This window comes from Homo sapiens, chromosome 17 (genome assembly GCF_000001405.40).
Source record: "Homo sapiens chromosome 17, GRCh38.p14 Primary Assembly".
Classification (NCBI taxonomy): Eukaryota; Metazoa; Chordata; class Mammalia; order Primates; family Hominidae; genus Homo; species Homo sapiens.
In genome coordinates, this window is record NC_000017.11 from 75,469,946 (window position 1) to 75,487,638 (window position 17,693).

At 53.7% G+C, this 17,693-nt stretch overlaps 1 protein-coding gene across 50 annotated transcripts in view, besides 2 other annotated features; it reads left to right on the forward strand.

Annotated features, from left to right (window-relative positions):
- TMEM94 (transmembrane protein 94) overlaps positions 1 to 17,693 on the forward strand; it is a 43,818-nt gene that overhangs the window by 13,311 nt on the left and 12,814 nt on the right. For 29 of the 50 annotated variants that reach the window (XM_047437170.1, NM_001438841.1, XM_047437179.1 and 26 more), the window contains 4 exons: positions 1,855 to 1,984; positions 15,483 to 15,602; positions 15,926 to 16,053; positions 16,345 to 16,481. In XM_047437170.1, the coding sequence (XP_047293126.1) occupies positions 1,961 to 1,984; positions 15,483 to 15,602; positions 15,926 to 16,053; positions 16,345 to 16,481 (409 nt within the window). In that variant the 5' untranslated portion in view covers positions 1,855 to 1,960. Of the gene's footprint in view, positions 1 to 1,854; positions 1,985 to 6,591; positions 6,799 to 15,482; positions 15,603 to 15,925; positions 16,054 to 16,344; positions 16,482 to 17,693 lie in introns of those variants that run through there. The other 21 variants (XM_017025433.2, XM_017025442.2, XM_017025434.2 and 18 more) reach the window with 1 other exon arrangement.
- Positions 2,282 to 2,371: a silencer, noted in NCBI's record as "silent region_8968". NCBI's record gives its function as "represses an Ori minimal core promoter by ATAC-STARR-seq in GM12878 lymphoblastoid cells {active_cell/tissue: GM12878}" and the evidence as "EXISTENCE:reporter gene assay evidence [ECO:0000049][PMID:35858748]".
- Positions 10,650 to 10,834: a silencer, noted in NCBI's record as "fragment chr17:73476676-73476860 (GRCh37/hg19 assembly coordinates)". NCBI's record gives its function as "represses an EF-1alpha promoter that drives an FKBP-Casp9 reporter gene in an ReSE screen in phorbol 12-myristate 13-acetate-treated (for megakaryocytic differentiation) K562 erythroleukemia cells {active_cell/tissue: K562(+PMA)}" and the evidence as "EXISTENCE:reporter gene assay evidence [ECO:0000049][PMID:32094911]".

The window sequence follows — 17,693 nt, forward strand, 5'->3', positions numbered from 1 at the left end:
GCCTGTAATCCCAGCTACTCAGGAGTCTGAGGCAGGAGAATCGCTTGAACCCAGGAGGCAGAGGTTGCAGTGAGCCGAGATCATGCCATTGTGCTCCATCCTGGGCAATAAGAGTGAAACTCCGTCTCAAACAAAAAAAGCCAATAAACCAAGGCTTTTCCTGCATGCTGTAATTCAGTGATAAACAGAGTACATATGGAACAAAACACAGTGTGCCTTTGAAAATGAAGGTTGAGGCTGGGCACAGTGATTCACGCCTGTAGCCTGTAGTCCCAGAACTTTTAAGAGGCTGAGGTGGGGAGGATTGCTTGAGGCCAGGAGGTCAAGACCAACCTGGGCAACATAGCAAGACCCCTTCTCCACACAAAATTAAAAAAAATAATAATAGGCTGGGCGTGGTGGCTCATGCTTGTAATCCCAGTACTTTGAGAGGCCGAGGCAGGTGGATCACTTGAGGTCAGGAGTTCAAGACCAGCCTGGCTGAGCATGGTGGCTCACGCCTGTAATCCCAGCACTTTGGGAGGCCAAGACAGGCGGATCATGAGGTCAGGAGATCGAGACCATCCTGGCTAACACGGTGAAACCCCATCTCTACTAAAAATACAAAAAATTAGCCGGGCGTGGTGGCGGGCGCCTGTAGTCCCAGCTACACAGGAGGCTGAGGCAGGAGAATGGCGTGAACCCGGGAGGTGGAGCTTGCAGTGAGCCGAGATCGCGCCACTGCACTCCAGCCTGGGCGACAGAGCGAGACTCTGTCTCAAAAAAAAAAAAAAGTCCAGCCTGACCAACATGGTGAAACCCTGTCTCAACTAAAAGTACAAAAATTAGCCGGGGATGCTGGTGCATGCCTGTAATCCCAGCTACTTGAGGGGCTGAGACAGGAGAATCACTTGAGCCCAGGAAGTGGAGGTTGCAGTAAGCAAAGGTTGCGCCACTGCACTCCAGCCTGGGCAACAGAGCGAGACTCTGTCTCAAAATAATAATAATAATAATAATAATAAAGAAAATGAAGGTCAGGCGCGGTGGCTCACGCCTGTAATCCCAACACTTTGGGAGGCTGAGGCGGGTGGATCACAAGGTCAGGAGTTCAAGACCAGCCTGGCCAATATGGTGAAACCCCGTCTTTACTAAAAATACAAAAATTAGCCGGGCGTGGTGGCAAGTGCCTGTGATCCCAGCTACTTGGGAGGCTGCAGCAGGGAATTGCTGGAACCCAGGAGGTGGAGGTTGCAACAATGAGCCAAGATCGGGTCATAGCACTCCAGCCTGGGCAACAGAGTGAGAATCCGTCTCAAAAAAAAAAAAAAAAGAAAGAAAGAAAGAAAGAAAATGAAGGGTGAAAGAGAGAAAGTTTGTACCCCTCCAGAATCCTCTCTGTAGCCCTCTCCCTCCTGGATTCAGAGAGTGGAATTCATCTAGAGCTGACTGCCTGGGGGAAGCTCTGCTGCTCGATGAGGCTGACTCTGTCTGATGGTCAGTGAGTTCAGTACTTTTCCGCGTACCATACTGTGGTTTAGATGATACTATTATGTTGGGTGGCTGAGGCGGGCAGATCACTTGAGGTCAGGAGTTTGAGACCAGCCTGGCTAACATGGCAAAACCCTGTCTCTACTGAAAAATACAAAATTAGCTGGGCATGGTGATGCACGCCTGTCATCCCAGCTACTCGGAAGCAAGAGAATCGCTTGAACCCAGGAGACAGAGTTTGCAGTGAGCCGAGATCGCGCCACTGCACTCCAGCCTGGGCGACAGAGTGAGACTCCGTCTCAAAAAAAAAAAAAAATGATGCTGTTGTGTTTCACAGTAGCTGCCTGTTCCAGCAACCTGAGTGATTTCTTTCTTCTTTTTCCCCAGATGTTGTGACTGTGACAGACTCACTGGGGTTTGTACATGCTGGGGAGGAGCCTTCCTTTCAGGGGTGACCACATTCATCTGGGCATGCCTGCAGTACTCTTGGCCCATGGACCTGAAGGAGAAGCACCTGGTAGGCCATATCCTATTACCTTATAGGTATTGTCTGTGTGTCTCTGTTGAACTCTTTCCTACTTGTTTTTGCCTGGGAGATCCTTAACTGGGGGCTTTAAACAAAAGTTGAGAGAGGAGGCAAGGCTCTGAGTCTTGGGGGATGCGACTGTGACCTCTTGGCTGGAAAGCACAGACTCACAGAGCTATGAATAAAGGATGAAGGTGGACCTATTAACACAACCGCATGGGAGCAGGGTTTCTGATTTAGGCTGGCTCCAAGCCAGTCTTCCACTTCTTGCCCAGGGGTGTGCAATTTAGTTTGTTTGCCCTTTGCTAGGGCGATGTCCTAACCTGCTGAGCCATGCTGAGGGCTATTGGGCACCTCCCTGTGGTTAGAGAAGAGCGCCCCAATCAGACTTCAAACACAGCTGCCTAATCAGCCGGTGGTGAGCAGCCAGGTGGCCTGGGCCAGCCATAAGATTGGTCTTCTCCTCCCAGCCTGGTTTGGCCCAGCCTCCATGTATACTATCTTTGGATGGAGGTAGAGTTGTCAATCAGAAAACTCCTCTCCCTTGACAAAGACTGCCCCAGAGGAAGTCCTTTTGTCTCTTGCCTAGCTTCTGCCACACCTTCCTAATAGATCTTTCTGTTTTCTGTAATCCCAGCTACTTGGGAGACTGAGGCAGGAGAATCGCTTGAACCCAGGAGGCAGAGGTTGCAGTGAGCAGAGATTGCACTACTGCACTCTCTGCTCATCAGCCTCCACATGGCTGCCACAAAACTGGTCAGTGGTTCCATACCACCTACTTAACCTTTAGTGTGTACAAAGCCCTCCAGAATCCTGCTCCTGCCCATGGATTTGGTGTTCCTAGCCTTCCTGCTTTGACTTTAGCACTAGTTATTACCTCTAAAATGCTTCCCACCCCTTTTTCTGGAAACTTCTTCTGTTCTTCCTTCAAGACCTAGTTTTGACATCATTTTCTCCAGTTAAGTCCTCCTTCCTTCCAGAGGTCCTTCCTTTCAGCATTTGTAGTACCTCCACCATTGTACTCGCTATTCTATTGAAATTAACTCATCTCTTCCACTTCATCTCAATATCCCTAGCTCACAGCACCGAGCCTGGCATGTAGCAAGGGCTTAGTACATATTTATTGACCTGAACTTCTGAATAGTGATCTTCCTTCCAGGGAGATCTTGGGAAGGTCTAGAGAGGGGGCTGTGGGTTCACTCCCTGGGCCTCTGCTGGCACCAGGCTGGCTGACTGCTTTCTGTTCAGCTCCAGGCTTCCTATGTCTCTGGACCAGCTGTGCAATAGGTTTCTGGAATTGAACTTGAAGCAGGTGTGCTTGGCCTCCTGTTCATAGCCACCTCTGGGTGCTCAGCAGATATCCACCCTAGCAGTGATTGGCACAGAGGGAAAGCTACACTTGCCTCTCTCTTAGCTGGGAGTTAAGGCTGCTGCAAACAGCTGCAAGGGCTCTGCACTGCTCAGTTCCAAGGAGTATGTCCCCAGAGGCTCTGCTGTTATGCAATGCGGTGGCCTGCCTGGGTGAGGCTGAATCCCCCAAAACAGAGGATGGTATTGTCTTCTGGTTCCAGCCAGAACCACTGAACACTAGTGCCTAGTGTATGGGGGAAACAAAGTTCTGTATCGAAGGGCTGGGTGCTCTCTCCAGCCTGAGGAAGAAGACTTGAGAACCCAGCTGGATAGCTCTCAGGGGCCATTTTTCCTGGAGGGTTTCTCTTTGTCCTCCTCCTCTTTCTGGATAGGTGAGCCCTGACCTGGAAAGCATCGTCAGTCATCCTTGGCAGTCACCATATTGTGGAATGGCAGCTTTGGGTTGGCAGAGCTTTAGGCACCAGGGAGGTGGCCCCGGCTTAGAGAGGCTTATTGTCTAGTAGAGGAATTGATAGTACAAGCAGGCTGGGCACAGTGGCTCACGTCTGTAATCTCAGCACTTTGGGAGGCCGAGGTAGGCAGATCACTTGAGGCTAGGAGTTCGAGACCAGCCTGGCCGACATGGTGAAATCCCGTCTCTACTAAAAATACAAAAATTAGCTGGGCATGGTGGCGCGTGCCTGTAATCCCAGCTACTTGGGAGGCTGAGGCAGGAGAATCGCTTGAACCCGGGAGGCAGAGGTTGCAGTGAGCAGATTGCACTACTGCACTTCAGCCTGGGCGACAGAGCAAGACTGTCTCAAAACAACAACAAACAAAATGGATAGTACAAGCAGTTAAGTAATTGGACCTGGTAGGGCCTCTAGCTGAGGTAACTCATGAGTTGTATAAATGGACTTATAAAGATGATCTCAGCCAGGTGCAGTGGCTCACACCTGTAAATCCCAGCACTTTGGGAGGCCGAGGCAGGTGGATCACCTGAGGTCAGGAGTTTGAGACCAGCCTGACCAAAATGGTGAAACCCTGTCTCTACTAAAAATATAAAAATTAGCTGGGTGTGGTGGCACACACCTGTAATCCCAGCACTTTGGGAGGCCAAGGTGGGCAGATCACCTAAGGTCAGGAGTTCAAGAACAGCCTGGCCAACATGGTGAAACCCTGTCTCTACTAAAAATACAAAAATTAGCCAGGCATGATAGTGCATGCCTGTAATCCCAGCTATTTGGGAGGCTGGGGCAGGAGAATCTCTTGAACTCGGGAGGCAGAGGTTGCAGTTAGCCGAGATTGAGGTCACACCACTGCACTCCAGCCTGGGGGACAGAGCAGAATCTCTAAAAAACAAAACAAAACAAAACAAAAAACCAAAAACAGTCAGAAGGTGTCTTGGAGGAGTAGGCTTTGGAGGAGCTGGCATAGTGGTCATTGATGGTAGGAGGGTTGTCGTCCCCTGGCTTAGCTCAGGAGCGGTTTAGCTCTTGATGGTTCTCTGCTTCTGATCCATCAGTTCGGTCTCTCCTTCAAAGCCCTCACCCCTGTCCCCGGTCCTCCAGCCCACAGTGGCCCTGCTGTGGCAGTGACAGCCTGGGTTCCTGCTGCTTGGGTGCAGGGCTCCCTTCTCCATTTGCTGAGGTGGGTAGTGTAGGAAGGGAGGCAGGGCCCAGAGAGGGCTGTGCTGGGGCCTGCACAGCACGTGGGCTAGTCCCTGTGTGCTGTTCTTTTTGGGGCCTGTCACATAGAAGGGACAGTGTTTGTGGACTTGTAGCTCCCACCCGAGCAGTGCCTCAGGGACAGGAGAGAGGGGACAGGAGTCTTTCTCTTTGGCTACAGCCAGATTGCAGAGCAGCAGCATCCTCACAGTGGCTGGCGTGGAAGCTGACCCCCACTGCCAACCTTTCCTTCTCTCCATGGAGTCTTCCTGTTCTTAACCTCTGGACTGCCCGGGCCCTCCCTTCTGTTCTCACTCAGCACTCTGTTTGGGGGCCGCACAGGGAGTTGCACTCATGAAAGGGAATGGGGAGGCTGGCTTGGGCTGCTGAGGCTCCTTCTTCCCTGCAGCTTGAGATGGTGTCGTCTAGGAAACGGAGGGCCCTGGAGAAACATGCTCAGGCTCCAGCTCACACTCTCCAGCTCTGGGACCTGTTAGGCTGTTTCCTCTCCCCTGGGGTGTGTAACCCCATTATAAGGATGGTTTTAGGCAGAGAAGTGTCCCATCCACTCCCCATGCCTCGGCCCCTGCTTCACCCAGGGTGCCTGTGCTGAGAGCATCCTGTATGTCAAACTCGCGGTCCCTGAATGATGCCTCTGGAGCCATGACTCACTCAGGCTCTGCCTGATGCTCTGGCATGTGCTGAGGCAGGAGCCCCAGGTATCTGGCCTCCTTTCTGCCTGGGGGATGCAGGGCCTGGGCATTCCCGGGCAGCCTCATGGGCCCAGCAGCACTTGGGCCGGTGTGTCTGAATGTATTGGGGCATCACCGGCTGCTGGCCCGGCTCTTCCCTGCATGGCTGTGAGGGTCTCCGTGCTACCTGGCAGGAAGGTGTTGGAGTCTTCAGAGGCCCTTTGGGCTGGCTCTTCCCTCCCTACTGGATCCTTCCTTCTGTCAGCTGCCTGGCCTTGGGCTTTGCCTTCCTAGAAGTCACTGCTCAAATCTTCTCAGCGGCCAGTCCATCCCGTCCCCCTCCACACAGGATGTGCTACTATTAATAACCCACAAGTCCCCTCTCCCCTCCTTCCTGCAGCTGTAACTATGGAAAGGGCTGTTGGCTTGGCTCCATGCTGGGGAGTTGCCGTGTGATTTGGGGACTTCTCATGGATGATGGGCTCACCCAGTGACTTGGGGACAAAGGACAGGTAGTTTGGGAAGAGAGCTGGGATTTGTGTGTCCCAGGGTTCCCCTTGATACTGGCAGTTGTCTTCAGGTTTCTGGGACAGGGGCAGTTTCTCCTCCATCTATCCCTCTGTCTGTCCATATCCTGGCTGCATGGTGCCCCTCAGCTAACCCCACTGTGGCCTCCTCTGAAGAACAGGCCAAGCTCCTGGATATCTGGCAGCGCGTTGGACAAACTTTCTCTTCTCAATGCTCCTGTTTCCTCCCTCCTTCTCTTTCCTCTTCTCCCCTCCCTCCCGCCCTTCCAGGGCTGCTGCCTCCTCCTCCCTCCCTGAATCTGCAGCGTGACTAGAAATAGGCTGAATTAATCAGCAGATTGAAGCTCTGCTCTGCTGCGCCTGATTCTGTGCAGCACCCGGCTTCTTGCTCACACACTCTCAGCTGTCTCCGTCTCTTCTCTCCTCTTCTCTCTCTCTCTCTTTTCACCCTCCCCGCTTTGAGGGAGGTGTTGGAAGTTCTTGCAGCTGACTGCTTGTGGCTCAGACTCTGGCCCATGCTCTTTAAGCAGGCAGAGCTATGGATGCCCCATCAGGGCAAAGGCAACAAAGTGAGTATGCTGGCAGGGCTTTTACGCTTCTCTTTAAAATGCTGTGTTCCCTGCTTTGTGTGGGAGTCTTCGGGTTAGCGGTTGCTGTGAGAGTCCTGAAGACAATGCAAAATGGGAGGCTGCTTGAATGAGCATGGGTAGCTGGGACCTGGGAAGGGGATTGGGAATGAGAGCCAGAAGGCCAGTGTGCCTGGGTAGCTGCCAGCCAGGTGCCCGAGTCACCCAGAGCAGGACTGGACCCAAGCCTCCCAGGGGATACCCTGCCAAGGCATGTGAGGACCTGGGTTTCCATGCACAGGTGACAGAAGCTCAGGGCCAGGATGCCATCCCTCCTCAGGGCCAATGAAGGCACTTTGAAGGCACAAGGAAGGACCATGTGGGGAACTAAGACAAGAGCCACCAGGGTGGGGAGGATTTTTTCCTAGGTCCTGGTGGCTACAGGAGGTGGGGAAGAATGTGGGTGAAAGTACTAAGGTCAGCATGAGCCAGGAAAAGGAGGAAGCAGCTCTGCTCAAGGCTCTGATTTGCCTGGCTGCAGACAGTCCATCTGTGTCTGGCCCAACTCAGAAGAGTGTATAGTGGCTGAATCTCTGCTTCCGTGATTCGGGCATTGTGTGGAGTCCAGCTTTGTGTCGCTTCCATACCTGCACTGACGACGACAGTGGGGACCCAGAGAGGGGGCCAGGCCTGAAATGGAGTCTCACTATGTTGCCCAGGCTGGTCTCGAACTCCTGGGCTCAAGCGATCCACCCGCCTCGGCCTCCCAAAGTGCTGGGGTTACAGGCATGAGCCACCATGCCCAGCCAGCCGTTCTAATTAGTAGTTATCTGCTGTTGTCAAGGCTGAAGGTCAAGGTCTAAATTCATAACCTGTCTACCTGAGCTTAGGGGACCTTGATTCTATTGTTCCTAAAACAGCTGGAGTAGGAAGGAGAGCAGCTGCTGTGCCCAGAACGTCGTGCAGGAGCTGTGAAAGGGGACAGGGCGGCCGGGCGCAGTGGTTCACGCCTGAATTCCCAGCACTTTGGGAGGCTGAGGCGAGCAGATCACGAGGTCAGGAGTTTGAGACCAGCCTGGCCAACATAGTGAAACCCTCTCTGTACTAAAAATACAAAAATTAGCCAGGCATGGTGGCGCATGCCTGTAGTCCCAGCTACTCTGGAGGCTGAGGCGGGAGAATCGCTTGAACCCGAGAGACGGAGGTTGTGGTGAGCCATAGCACCACTGCACTCCAGCCTGGGCAACAAAGCGAGACTCCATCTTTTTTTTTTTTTTTTTTTTTTTTTTTTTTGAGACGGAGTCTCGCTCTGTCGCCCAGGCTGGAGTGCAGTGGCGGGATCTCGGCTCACTGCAAGCTCCGCCTCCCGGGTTCACGCCATTCTCCTGCCTCAGCCTCCCAAGTAGCTGGGACGACAGGCGCCCGCCACTACGCCCGGCTAATTTTTTTTGTATTTTTAGTAGAGACGGGGTTTCACCGTTTTAGCCGGGATGGTCTCGATCTCCTGACCTCGTGATCCGCCCGCCTCGGCCTCCCAAAGTGCTGGGATTACAGGCGTGAGCCACCGCGCCCGGCCGAGACTCCATCTTAAAAAAAAAAAAAAAAAAAAGAAAGAAAGAAAAGAAAAAGAAAAAAAGGAAAGGGGACAGGGCCTGGGGCTTGAGGGTTTCTGACTCTGGGTCACCTGAGAAACCTGACGGAAGCGGCACAGGAGAGCTCAGGTGTGTCGGCTCTCGAAGGCGCCTTAGCCTATCCGGGTGCTCAGCTTCAGACCTCCAGAGCTGGGCCTGCTCAGGGGCAGACTCCTTGTGGTTCTGATTTGATGGATAGAGTTCTTTCACCACCCTGCTCTTCCTCCAAATCCCCACGCCCTGCCAGCGTCCCTCTTTGATGATAGAACAGAGAGAGCAAGCCCTGTGTTGGGCGTTTGTTGCCTGCCTCTCCCGAGTCAGGACTTCCTTAGAGCCGTGTTATTTTCTCCTCTTGCTCCAGTTAAGCCTGAGCAGTGAAAACAGCGGAATGGGGTTTGTTCTGCCTGAAAAGCATCCGTGTAATTTGAGAAGTAGGGCCTCCCTTCCCCTTGGTGTGGTGGGAGTTTCTAGCATGTGGGAAGCTCTGAGAATCTCATGTCACCCTTGGGTACTTAAGGCCAGGTTAGATTTTTTCTCAGTCATCTTGGCCCCAGGAGGCAAGAAAAGGCGACCTCAGCTTGTGTGTGTCAACCCGGATTTCTGTTTCTCAGATAATAAGAACTGCGCCTGTTCCCTCGCTATGCCCTGCCATTGGTGCCCAGGTACATTGGGTAGCCAGCCTAACTCCATGCTTTGGGAAAGGCTGGCAGAGCCCACTCACCCACCAACCCATTCTGAACTTCCTTCAGAAAGTATGAAGGTCTTCTGCTCTTATGTCACATGTCAAAGCTGAGGCACAATGAGCAAGAAAGCAGGCCAGGCACGGTGGTTCACGCCTATAATCCCAGCCCTATGGGAGGCGGGAGGATTGCTTGAACCCAGGAGTTCGAGACCAGCCTGGGCAACATAGCAAGACCTCATGTCTACAAAAAAAAATTTATTTTTCATTTATTATTATTATTTTTTGAGATGGAGTCTTGCTCTGTTGCCGAAGCTGGAGTACAGTGGCGCAATCTCGGCTCACTGCAACCGCCGCCTCCTGGGTTCAAGCGATTCCCCTGCCTCAGCCTCCCGAGTAGGTGAGACTACAGGTGCCCGCCACCATGCCCAGCTAATTTTTGTATTTTTAATAGAGACAGGGTTTCACTATGTTGGCCAGGCTGGTCTCGAACTCCTCATCTCGTGATCCCCCTGCCTCGGCCTCCCAAAGTGCTGGGATTACAGGCATGAGCCACTGAGCCCGGCCTACAAAAAAATTTTAAAAGGCCAGGTACAGTGGCTCACACCTGTAATCCCAACACTTTGGGAGGCTGAGGTGGGCAGATCACATGAGCCCAGGAGCTCAAGACCAGCCTGGGCAACATGGCGAAACCCTGTCTCTACTAAAAATACAAAAAATTAGCTGGGTGTCGTGGCATCACCTATAGTCCTAGCTAGTTGGAAGGCTGAGGTGAGAGAATTACCTGAGCCTGGGAAGTCAAGGCTGCAGTGAGCCCTGATGGCACCATTACATTCCAACTTGGGCAACAGGAGTGAGACCATCTCAAAAAAACACTAAAAACAACCCTATCTGGGCTTGGTGGTACACATCTGTGGTCTCAGCTGCTTGGAGGCTGAGGTGGGAGAATTGCTTGAGCCCCAGAGGTGGGGGCTGCAGGGAGCCGAGATTGTGCCATTGTACTCCATCTAGCCTGGGCAACAGAGCAAGACCCGGTCTCAAAGGAAAAAAAAAAAAAGAGAAAAAGAGCGAGAGAGAGCAGTGACTTGACCCTTAATTTCGACCCCCTGCTGGAGAGGGAAGAGGTGAATGCCTGGGCAGTTGGATAAGCTCAGCTGAAGGCTGCAAAGAGCAGACTGGCCCAGAACGCTGGGTCCTCACTGCAGGGCTGGCCTGTGCGGGCAAGAGCTTCCTTTGGGCAGCACGTAATTACAGAATGGCTTATTTTTCCTCTACTGTGCTGTCTTTAATCACCAGTCTGGAGCTGGTGTCCCTGACCAGACATAACAAGCGGGGGCAGATGCACACAGACAGCTCTGCAGGCGCCCTGCCTGGGAGTATCTGCCACCCTCTGGCCCATACCTCCCACACCTGGAGGGGAGCAGAGCGCAGCTTCAAGGTTCCTGGGGTAGAGACAGCAAGAGAGCAGATGATGGCCAGGCGGGGTGAGGAGGTCTTGGCTGCTTGGAATGAGGCAGCAGGTGTCAGGACAGCTGCCATGTGGCCCACGAGAATCAATGAATGTCCAAGATCTTCAGGCCTGACCAAAGGAGGGACACCTCCCTGGCTCTCTGACTACTCCTCTTAGCCTTTTCTCTGCCTTGCTGGAAACTGTCACCTTCCTGAGTGTGGTCCTCATTCTAGGCCGAGCATCTTCCCAGCTGTGTACAGTTGCCTGGTCCTTCCTCTCTTTCTCCCTCCCAGTCTCCATCTCTTGGGTGGACAGCCTTCCCCCTATGCAGGCCAGCTTTTCCTGCCTTCAGTGTGTTTCTCACTTGATCATGTCTGGAGGCCTGGCCCAGGTATGGGCCATTCTGTCCTGGGAACACTCACATTCCTCTCTGTGGCGAGGAAGCTCAGAAGGCTGAGCCTGAGGGGAAGACACTGGAGGCCTGGGGTCTCTGTGTGCAGCCGCCTGTCTCCTAGATCCTCTTCTTCCCTGGGGTGGGAGGAACAGACGTCCATGCCCACAGACAGGAGAAGGCCTATGGTCTCCTCTTCCTGTTTCTCTTCCTCCCTTACAACCCTCCCTGAAGCTTTCCTTCCCTCCATGTCAGGAGCTCCGGGAGGCAGTAGGACAGGTACAGGCATTCATTTGCCCTGGACCATGGCCTCTTTGGGAGGCCTCAGGATCCTTGCCAAAGGGAGGTGGGTGCGTTGGAGCACAGTATTTACCCATGTGGGGGTGTGAGGTCCCCGCCGGGAGGGCCATTTCTTTCTGAGCTGAAATAACCAGTTTATCCCCTCTGGGAAGAGGCGGCTCTTATCTTTATAATCCCCCAAAGCCACTGTGGAGAGCGGGATTAGGTGAGATTTAGGGAAGGGAGCTGGGGAATCCTGGGGCCAGGCCCCGTCCCTCAGGCCAGCACTGGGGGCTCCACTTGAGTGCCTCCTGTGATGCCAGGCTGTGGCAGGGGGCAGCATCCCTGGGCCCAGGAGCCACTCTTACTTATGGGATGTGTGCCCTGCCAGGGCTGAGGCTCAGTTGCCGAGGAGGGGGTATGTGTGGAGACAGGCAGGAAGGAGTAAGCCCAGAAGGCCAGAGGGCACAGCCAGGGCAGGACTCTGGGAGACAGAACTGTGGGCCGCATAGAGGGTGGGGAGAGCAGTGAGACGAGGCAGCCAGGGGTCACCAGCCCCACAGCCTGTGGCTGAGCCTCCTCCATGGCTGCCCCAAATCCCTTTCCTGGTGCCTGAGGTCTAGGGATTCACTCCTCTTGCTCAGGAGGTTTTCCAGAGGGAAGCTCACATGGATGCTTCGCAGGTGGTCCTGGAAAGACTCACTTCTCCTTCAGGCGCTGCCTTTCATGGGGCTCTTCTTTGTCCCAGGGCCTCAGAGCTGGGGTGTGGTGGCTCACGCCTATAATCACAGCACTTTAGCAGGCTGAGGAGGGAGGATTGCTTGAGGTCAGGAGTTTAAGACCAGCCTGGGCAACATATCGAGGCCCCATCTCTACAAAAAAATGCAAAGGGCCAGGCACAGTGGCTCAGGCCTATAATCCTAACACTTTGGGAGGCCAAGGCGGGCAGATTGCCTGAGCTCAGGAGCTCGAGACCAGCCTGGGCAACATGGTGAAACTCGGTCTCTACTAAAATATAAAAAAAAATTAGCCGGGCGTGGCAGCATGTGCCTGTAGTCCCAGCTGCTCGGGAGGCTGAGGCAGGAGAATTTCTTGAACCCAGGAGGCAGAAGTTGCAGTGAGCTGAGATTGCGCCACTGCACTCCAGCCTGGGCAACAGAACGAGACTCTGTCTCAAAAAAGAAAAAAAAAAAAGCAAAGAAAATTAGCTGAGTGTAGTCCCAGCCACTCCATAGGCTGAGGCAGGAAGATCGCTGGAGCCTGAGAGGTGTAAGCTGCAGCGAACCATGCCCACGCCACTGCATCCAGCCTGGGCAGCAGAGCAAGACCCTGTCTCAATTTAAAAATATATATATATGTATGTATGTATGTATGTATGTATGTATGTATGTATGTATGTATAACCTGGAATTCCCTTCATCCCCAGAAATTTTGGTTCAGTAGGTCCGGAGTGGAGCCTAGACATCCACCACATTTTTAAAAGCTGTGGTGTCTAAGATTTTGGGCTGACAGTCCCGATTAAGGTGAAGCCTTGACTAAGCTGCGGAATGCCTCGGGTTGTTCCTGTTGCTGTTTCATTGGGATCATTGCATTCATTCATTCATTCATTTATTCATTCATTCATTCAGCAAGTATTCACTGAGCTTGTGTGTGCCATGCACTGTCTCAGCAGTTGGATGGTGAGGGTGTGTGGAAATGGAAGAATTCAGAGCCTGTTTTTAAGGAATTTGCAGTCTGGCGGGAGAGCCAGCTGTGTCAATCTGTGATTACAGTTCTGTAAGGTGCAGGCTGCAGGCCAGGTTGCCCAGGACACCATTGACATGTAAACCTCCCCTGAAGTGCAGCCCTGGGTTTTGGGAAAATGTCCCAGAGGAGGTGATGTTTGAGCTGAGTCTTGAAGGAGAAGCAAGAGTTGACTGGGGTGGGGCACGTGATTCTCGCTGGGAAACACATCAAGTATGTGAACATGAGCTGAAGGGGCTCGGCTCGTGTCAGGAGGAGCAGGAAAGGAGGCCAGGGAGGCTGGCACATCTGAAGGGTCTCCAGGAGCACACACAAGAATCGGACTTGATTTTAAGGGTAAATAGGTCATTTGACCAACCAGGCAGGCCCTGCTCTGGCCAAGGTGTTCCAGTGGGTTTGGAAAAGTTAGAGACAGTGTGGGGTGGAGTTTGGGCAAGCATAAGGCCAGGGTCAAGAATGTTCTAGAGGTGATTGGGTGAGACAGTCACTGTGAGAGGAAAGGTGACTCTGGCAGTAGAGCCAGGTGGCAAGTTCAAGTTTTTTTCTTTTCTTTTTTTTTTTTTTTGAGACAGAGTCTAGCTCTGTCACCCAGGCTGGAGTGCAGTGGCGTGATCTTGGCTCACTGCAACCTCTGCCTCCCGGTTCAAGTGATTCTCATGCCTCAGCCACCCAAGCAGCTGGGATTACATGCATGCACCACCATGCCCAGCTAATTTTTGTATTTTTAGTAGGGATGGGGTTTCACCATGTTGGCCTGGCCAGGCTGGTCTCAAATGCCTGACCTCAAGTAGTGCACCCATCTCAGCTTCCCAAAGTGCTGGGATTACAGGCGTGAGTTCGGCCCGAGTTCAGGTTTTTGGACACATTGACTCCTAGGTCCCTGTGAAGCAGCTGTAGGCCCGTTCAGCAGACGGGTCCACATTCAGGGTAGCGGTCAGACTTGAAGTAAAATAGGAGTTGTAGGCTTGTTGGTGGCAGGTGACTCTGTGACTGTGGATGAGGTTGCTCTGGAAACCTACAGAGGTTGGTAACGTGTCCTAGGTGGCCTATGGGGTAGACGGATGGGGAAGAACAGTCAGAGTCAACGGAGAAAACAGGAGAGAAGCCAGGAATGGGGGAGTCCTGACAGGGAAAGGCTGGGCCACAAGGTCGCCTAAGATGATGTGGTTGGTCCCTGCGTCGTCGGGGCCTACACTGTCCACACCTTGTCCCATTCATCCTTGGTGAGATGGGAGTGTGCCTCTGCACAGTCCTGCCCTGGGAATAGCTGCCTTTTTTTCTGTTATGTCCTTCCTAATGTTTCAGTGTTACAATATCCTCTCTTTCATGAAATGGTAGTTATAGAAGATGGTGGGTTTTTTCCCTCCCTGCCCCTTTCTTCCGTCCCTCCCTCCCTCCCTCCCAACCTCCCTCCCTCCCTGACAGAGCTGGAAGGTTTTTTTCCTTCATGTCTTTCCTAGGAACAGTGAAATGCTAGCATCTCTTTTTTGTTGTTGTTTTTTTGAGACAGGGTCTCATTTTGTCATTTAGGCTGGAGTGCAGTGGCACAATCACAGCTCACTACGACCTTGACCTCCTGAGCCCAAGCAATCCTCCTGCCTCAGCCTCCTGAGTAGCTGGGTGCATGCCACTATGCCCAGCTAATTTTTTCTTTCTGATTTTTTGTACAGATGGGGTTCCTCTATGTTGCCCAGACTAGTCTTTAACTCTTAGGTTCGAGTGATCCACCTGCCTCCACCTCCCAAAGTGCTGGGATTACAGGTGTGAGCCACCACGCCTGGCCAAAAGATAGCATCTCTATGTTAGTTTCCCTCTCTCCATTTAAAAAAAGATATATTTTAGGCCAGGCACAGTGGCTCACGCCAGTCATCCCAGCACTTTGGGAGGCCAAGGCGGGCAGATCACTTGAGGTCAGGAGTTCAAGACCAGCCTGGCCAACATGATGAAACCTCGTCTCCACTAAAAGTACAAAAAATTAGCCCGACATGGTGGTGTGTGCCTGTAATCCCAGCTACTCGGGAGGCTGAGGCGGGAGAATCACCAGAACCCGGGAGGCAGAGGTTGCAGTGAGCCGAGATCGTGCCACTGCACTCCAGCCTAGGAGACTAAGCAAGACTCTATCTAAAAAAAAAAAAAAAAATTGTCCATGCAATCAAAGACTGGCCCCCTTGCAATAAATTGGGAGATCAGTGGTGAGCACAGCCTGGGTGGGCAGGGAGCTCGCCAGGGGCAGTGGGGAAAGTGAGTTGGGGAACATGGAATAAAAGAAAAAGTTGTTTTGTTTTTTAATTTGGCTGTAAAGAGTAGGGTAGGAGGCTGTGCACTTGAACAGTTTGTAATTTGGTGGAGATGGACATGGTCACACCTTGAGAGGCCAGAGCTGGTAGGGGAAGAGATGTGAGGATCCCAGAGGAGGGGAAGGATGAAGGGCCAGGGAAGGGGAGGGTTGGGGCCCGCGTGCCTTGCATAGCCTTGGCCTGGCAGTGACGCCCAGCGCCTCCTGCTTGCCTGCAGGGCGAGCCTCCCTCAGCCCTGGGCCTGTCCACGCGGAAGGCCCTCAGCGTCCTGAAGGAGCAGCTGGAGGCAGTGCTGGAAGGACATCTCAGGGAGCGGAAGAAGTGTCTGACGTGGAAGGTGAAGCTTCTTCTCGGGGCTACCAGGGCCTGGCTGGGATGGCAGGGAAGTGTGGGAGGCCCCTTCTCAGGACTCTGATGTACCCTGTCACCCTGGACAGTGTGACCCAACTGAGGCCTCATGAAATATCAGAAAGAAGCCAAGGTTCCCCTCAGAGTGGCTCCTGAGCCTGCTTGCTGCAGGAGCCCAACAGGCTGGAGCCCAGCCGAGGTCAAAGAGAGGGGACCAAGGCGGCCATGGGGGCTGGGAAGGGTGCCGGGGGAGGCAGCCAGATTGGAGTGGGACAGGCCTCTCATTGTCCCCTCCCTGTCCGAACTTCCCAGGAGGTGTGGAGAAGCAGCTTCCTCCACCACAGTAACCGCTGCTCCTGCTTCCACTGGCCGGGGGCCTCACTCATGCTACTGGCCGTGCTGCTGCTGCTGGGCTGCTGCGGGGGACAGCCAGCCGGGAGGTGTGCGCCCAGGGGCTGCTCCCCAACCTCTCCAGCTGTGCTGTCCATCCTGCCGCGGCACCTGGGACAGACCAGGGCTCTTGGGGGCTGTCACCCCCAAGCTGCTCCTGGGATGTAAGGGAACCTCCTCAGTCCCTTGAATGGGGTCAGAGGCCTAGCTGGTGTCAGGGCACCAGAACGGGACAGTCTTTCCACAAGGGACTGGGGTGGGAAGGGGAGCTGTGGCCTGGGGGCTGCTGGGTGGGCGAGCCCTCACTCCCTGTGGGTGCGGCCTCTCTTTCCTCCCACCAGCCGTGGGGTGGGGCTGGTGAATGCCTCGGCCTTGTTCCTGTTACTGCTTCTCAACCTTGTGCTCATCGGGCGGCAAGACCGGCTGAAGCGTCGGGAGGTAGAGCGGAGGCTGCGAGGGATCATTGACCAAATCCAAGGTGAGGTCAAGGGCAGGCATATTGGTGGGAAAAGATGACCGGACATATCAGAGCCCTGAGGGCTCCCCTCCTGCACCCCAGCACAGACGGGTTGCCTGTGGCCAGCATTGCAGGGGCTCTTGTCATCTGGGGAGTTAGAAGGATGCCCACTCTCTTTTGAGCAGGGCAGTGAGAGCTGTGGGATGGTGGTGGGTGCCCAGGCAGAGGGCTGGGCAGGCAGGAAGGCCAACAGTGGCAGGTGGGCTTGCAGGCTGGCTCACGTTGGGAAACCAACAGGGAAGTCCTCTCACATGGCAGGAGGATGATTGAAGTTTTCTCGTTCAAGTCCATCTTGTCTGGTGTACTGTGCTGGGAGACATGGGAAGGTGGGCAGACATACCTGCAGGAATTGGGGTGGGGTAGGGGCCGGGAGCCTGAGATGGAGCAGCCCAGCTCCAAAAGGGAGGGGAGTGGCTTGGATTTCTGCTTGGCCTTTCATTCAGGCGGTGTTTATGAAGCTTGGCTGCGGATTGAGGGTTGTTGAGGCTCTTTTGAGGGACGGTGGCTCCTGCTGTCCAGGGGCATGTGGTGCTGTGGGAGAAGCAGCACCCACTCATGAGACCTTTCTCCAACAGACCTGGGCAGTGGACGTTTAGATGCTAAGTGAGTTTGTCCTTTCGTTCTGAGATGGTTAATTGCCACCATGTGCCAGGCACTGGGAGTGCAATGGTGATGGCAAAAGATGGGCCCTGCTTTCCGGAGCTTAGTCTCCTGCCCAGGAGCATCAGTGGCTCCCTTTTGCTTATGGAAGCCATCCCAGAGGCACGAGTGGCCTCCCAGAGCCTCCAACACAGGCTCACCTTCCTCTCCAGCCTCTTCTCTTCCTCCTCATTCTGATGCTGAAACTACTCACCAGTCCTAGGCCCACTGTGTATCAGCCTCTGCCTCTGTGCCTCTCTCCACTGTTCTCTGCTGGTGAGCTTCTCCCTCACTCATCTCCAGCTGACAAAACCATTCTTCCAGGCCCATCCCCAGTGCTTCCTCTTTCAGGAAGCCACCTCTGATCGCCCCAGCAAATCGGTTTGCTCCCTCTTCTGGACTCCTGCAGCACAGGGATCTTTGTTAATGCTTAGCCGTGTTTGCCTTGTTTGGCGTTATCTGTCCACATGTCTCATCTGCCCCACTGGGTTGTGGCTCCTTGAGGAGCTATGTTGTTGTCTCCACCTTGCACCC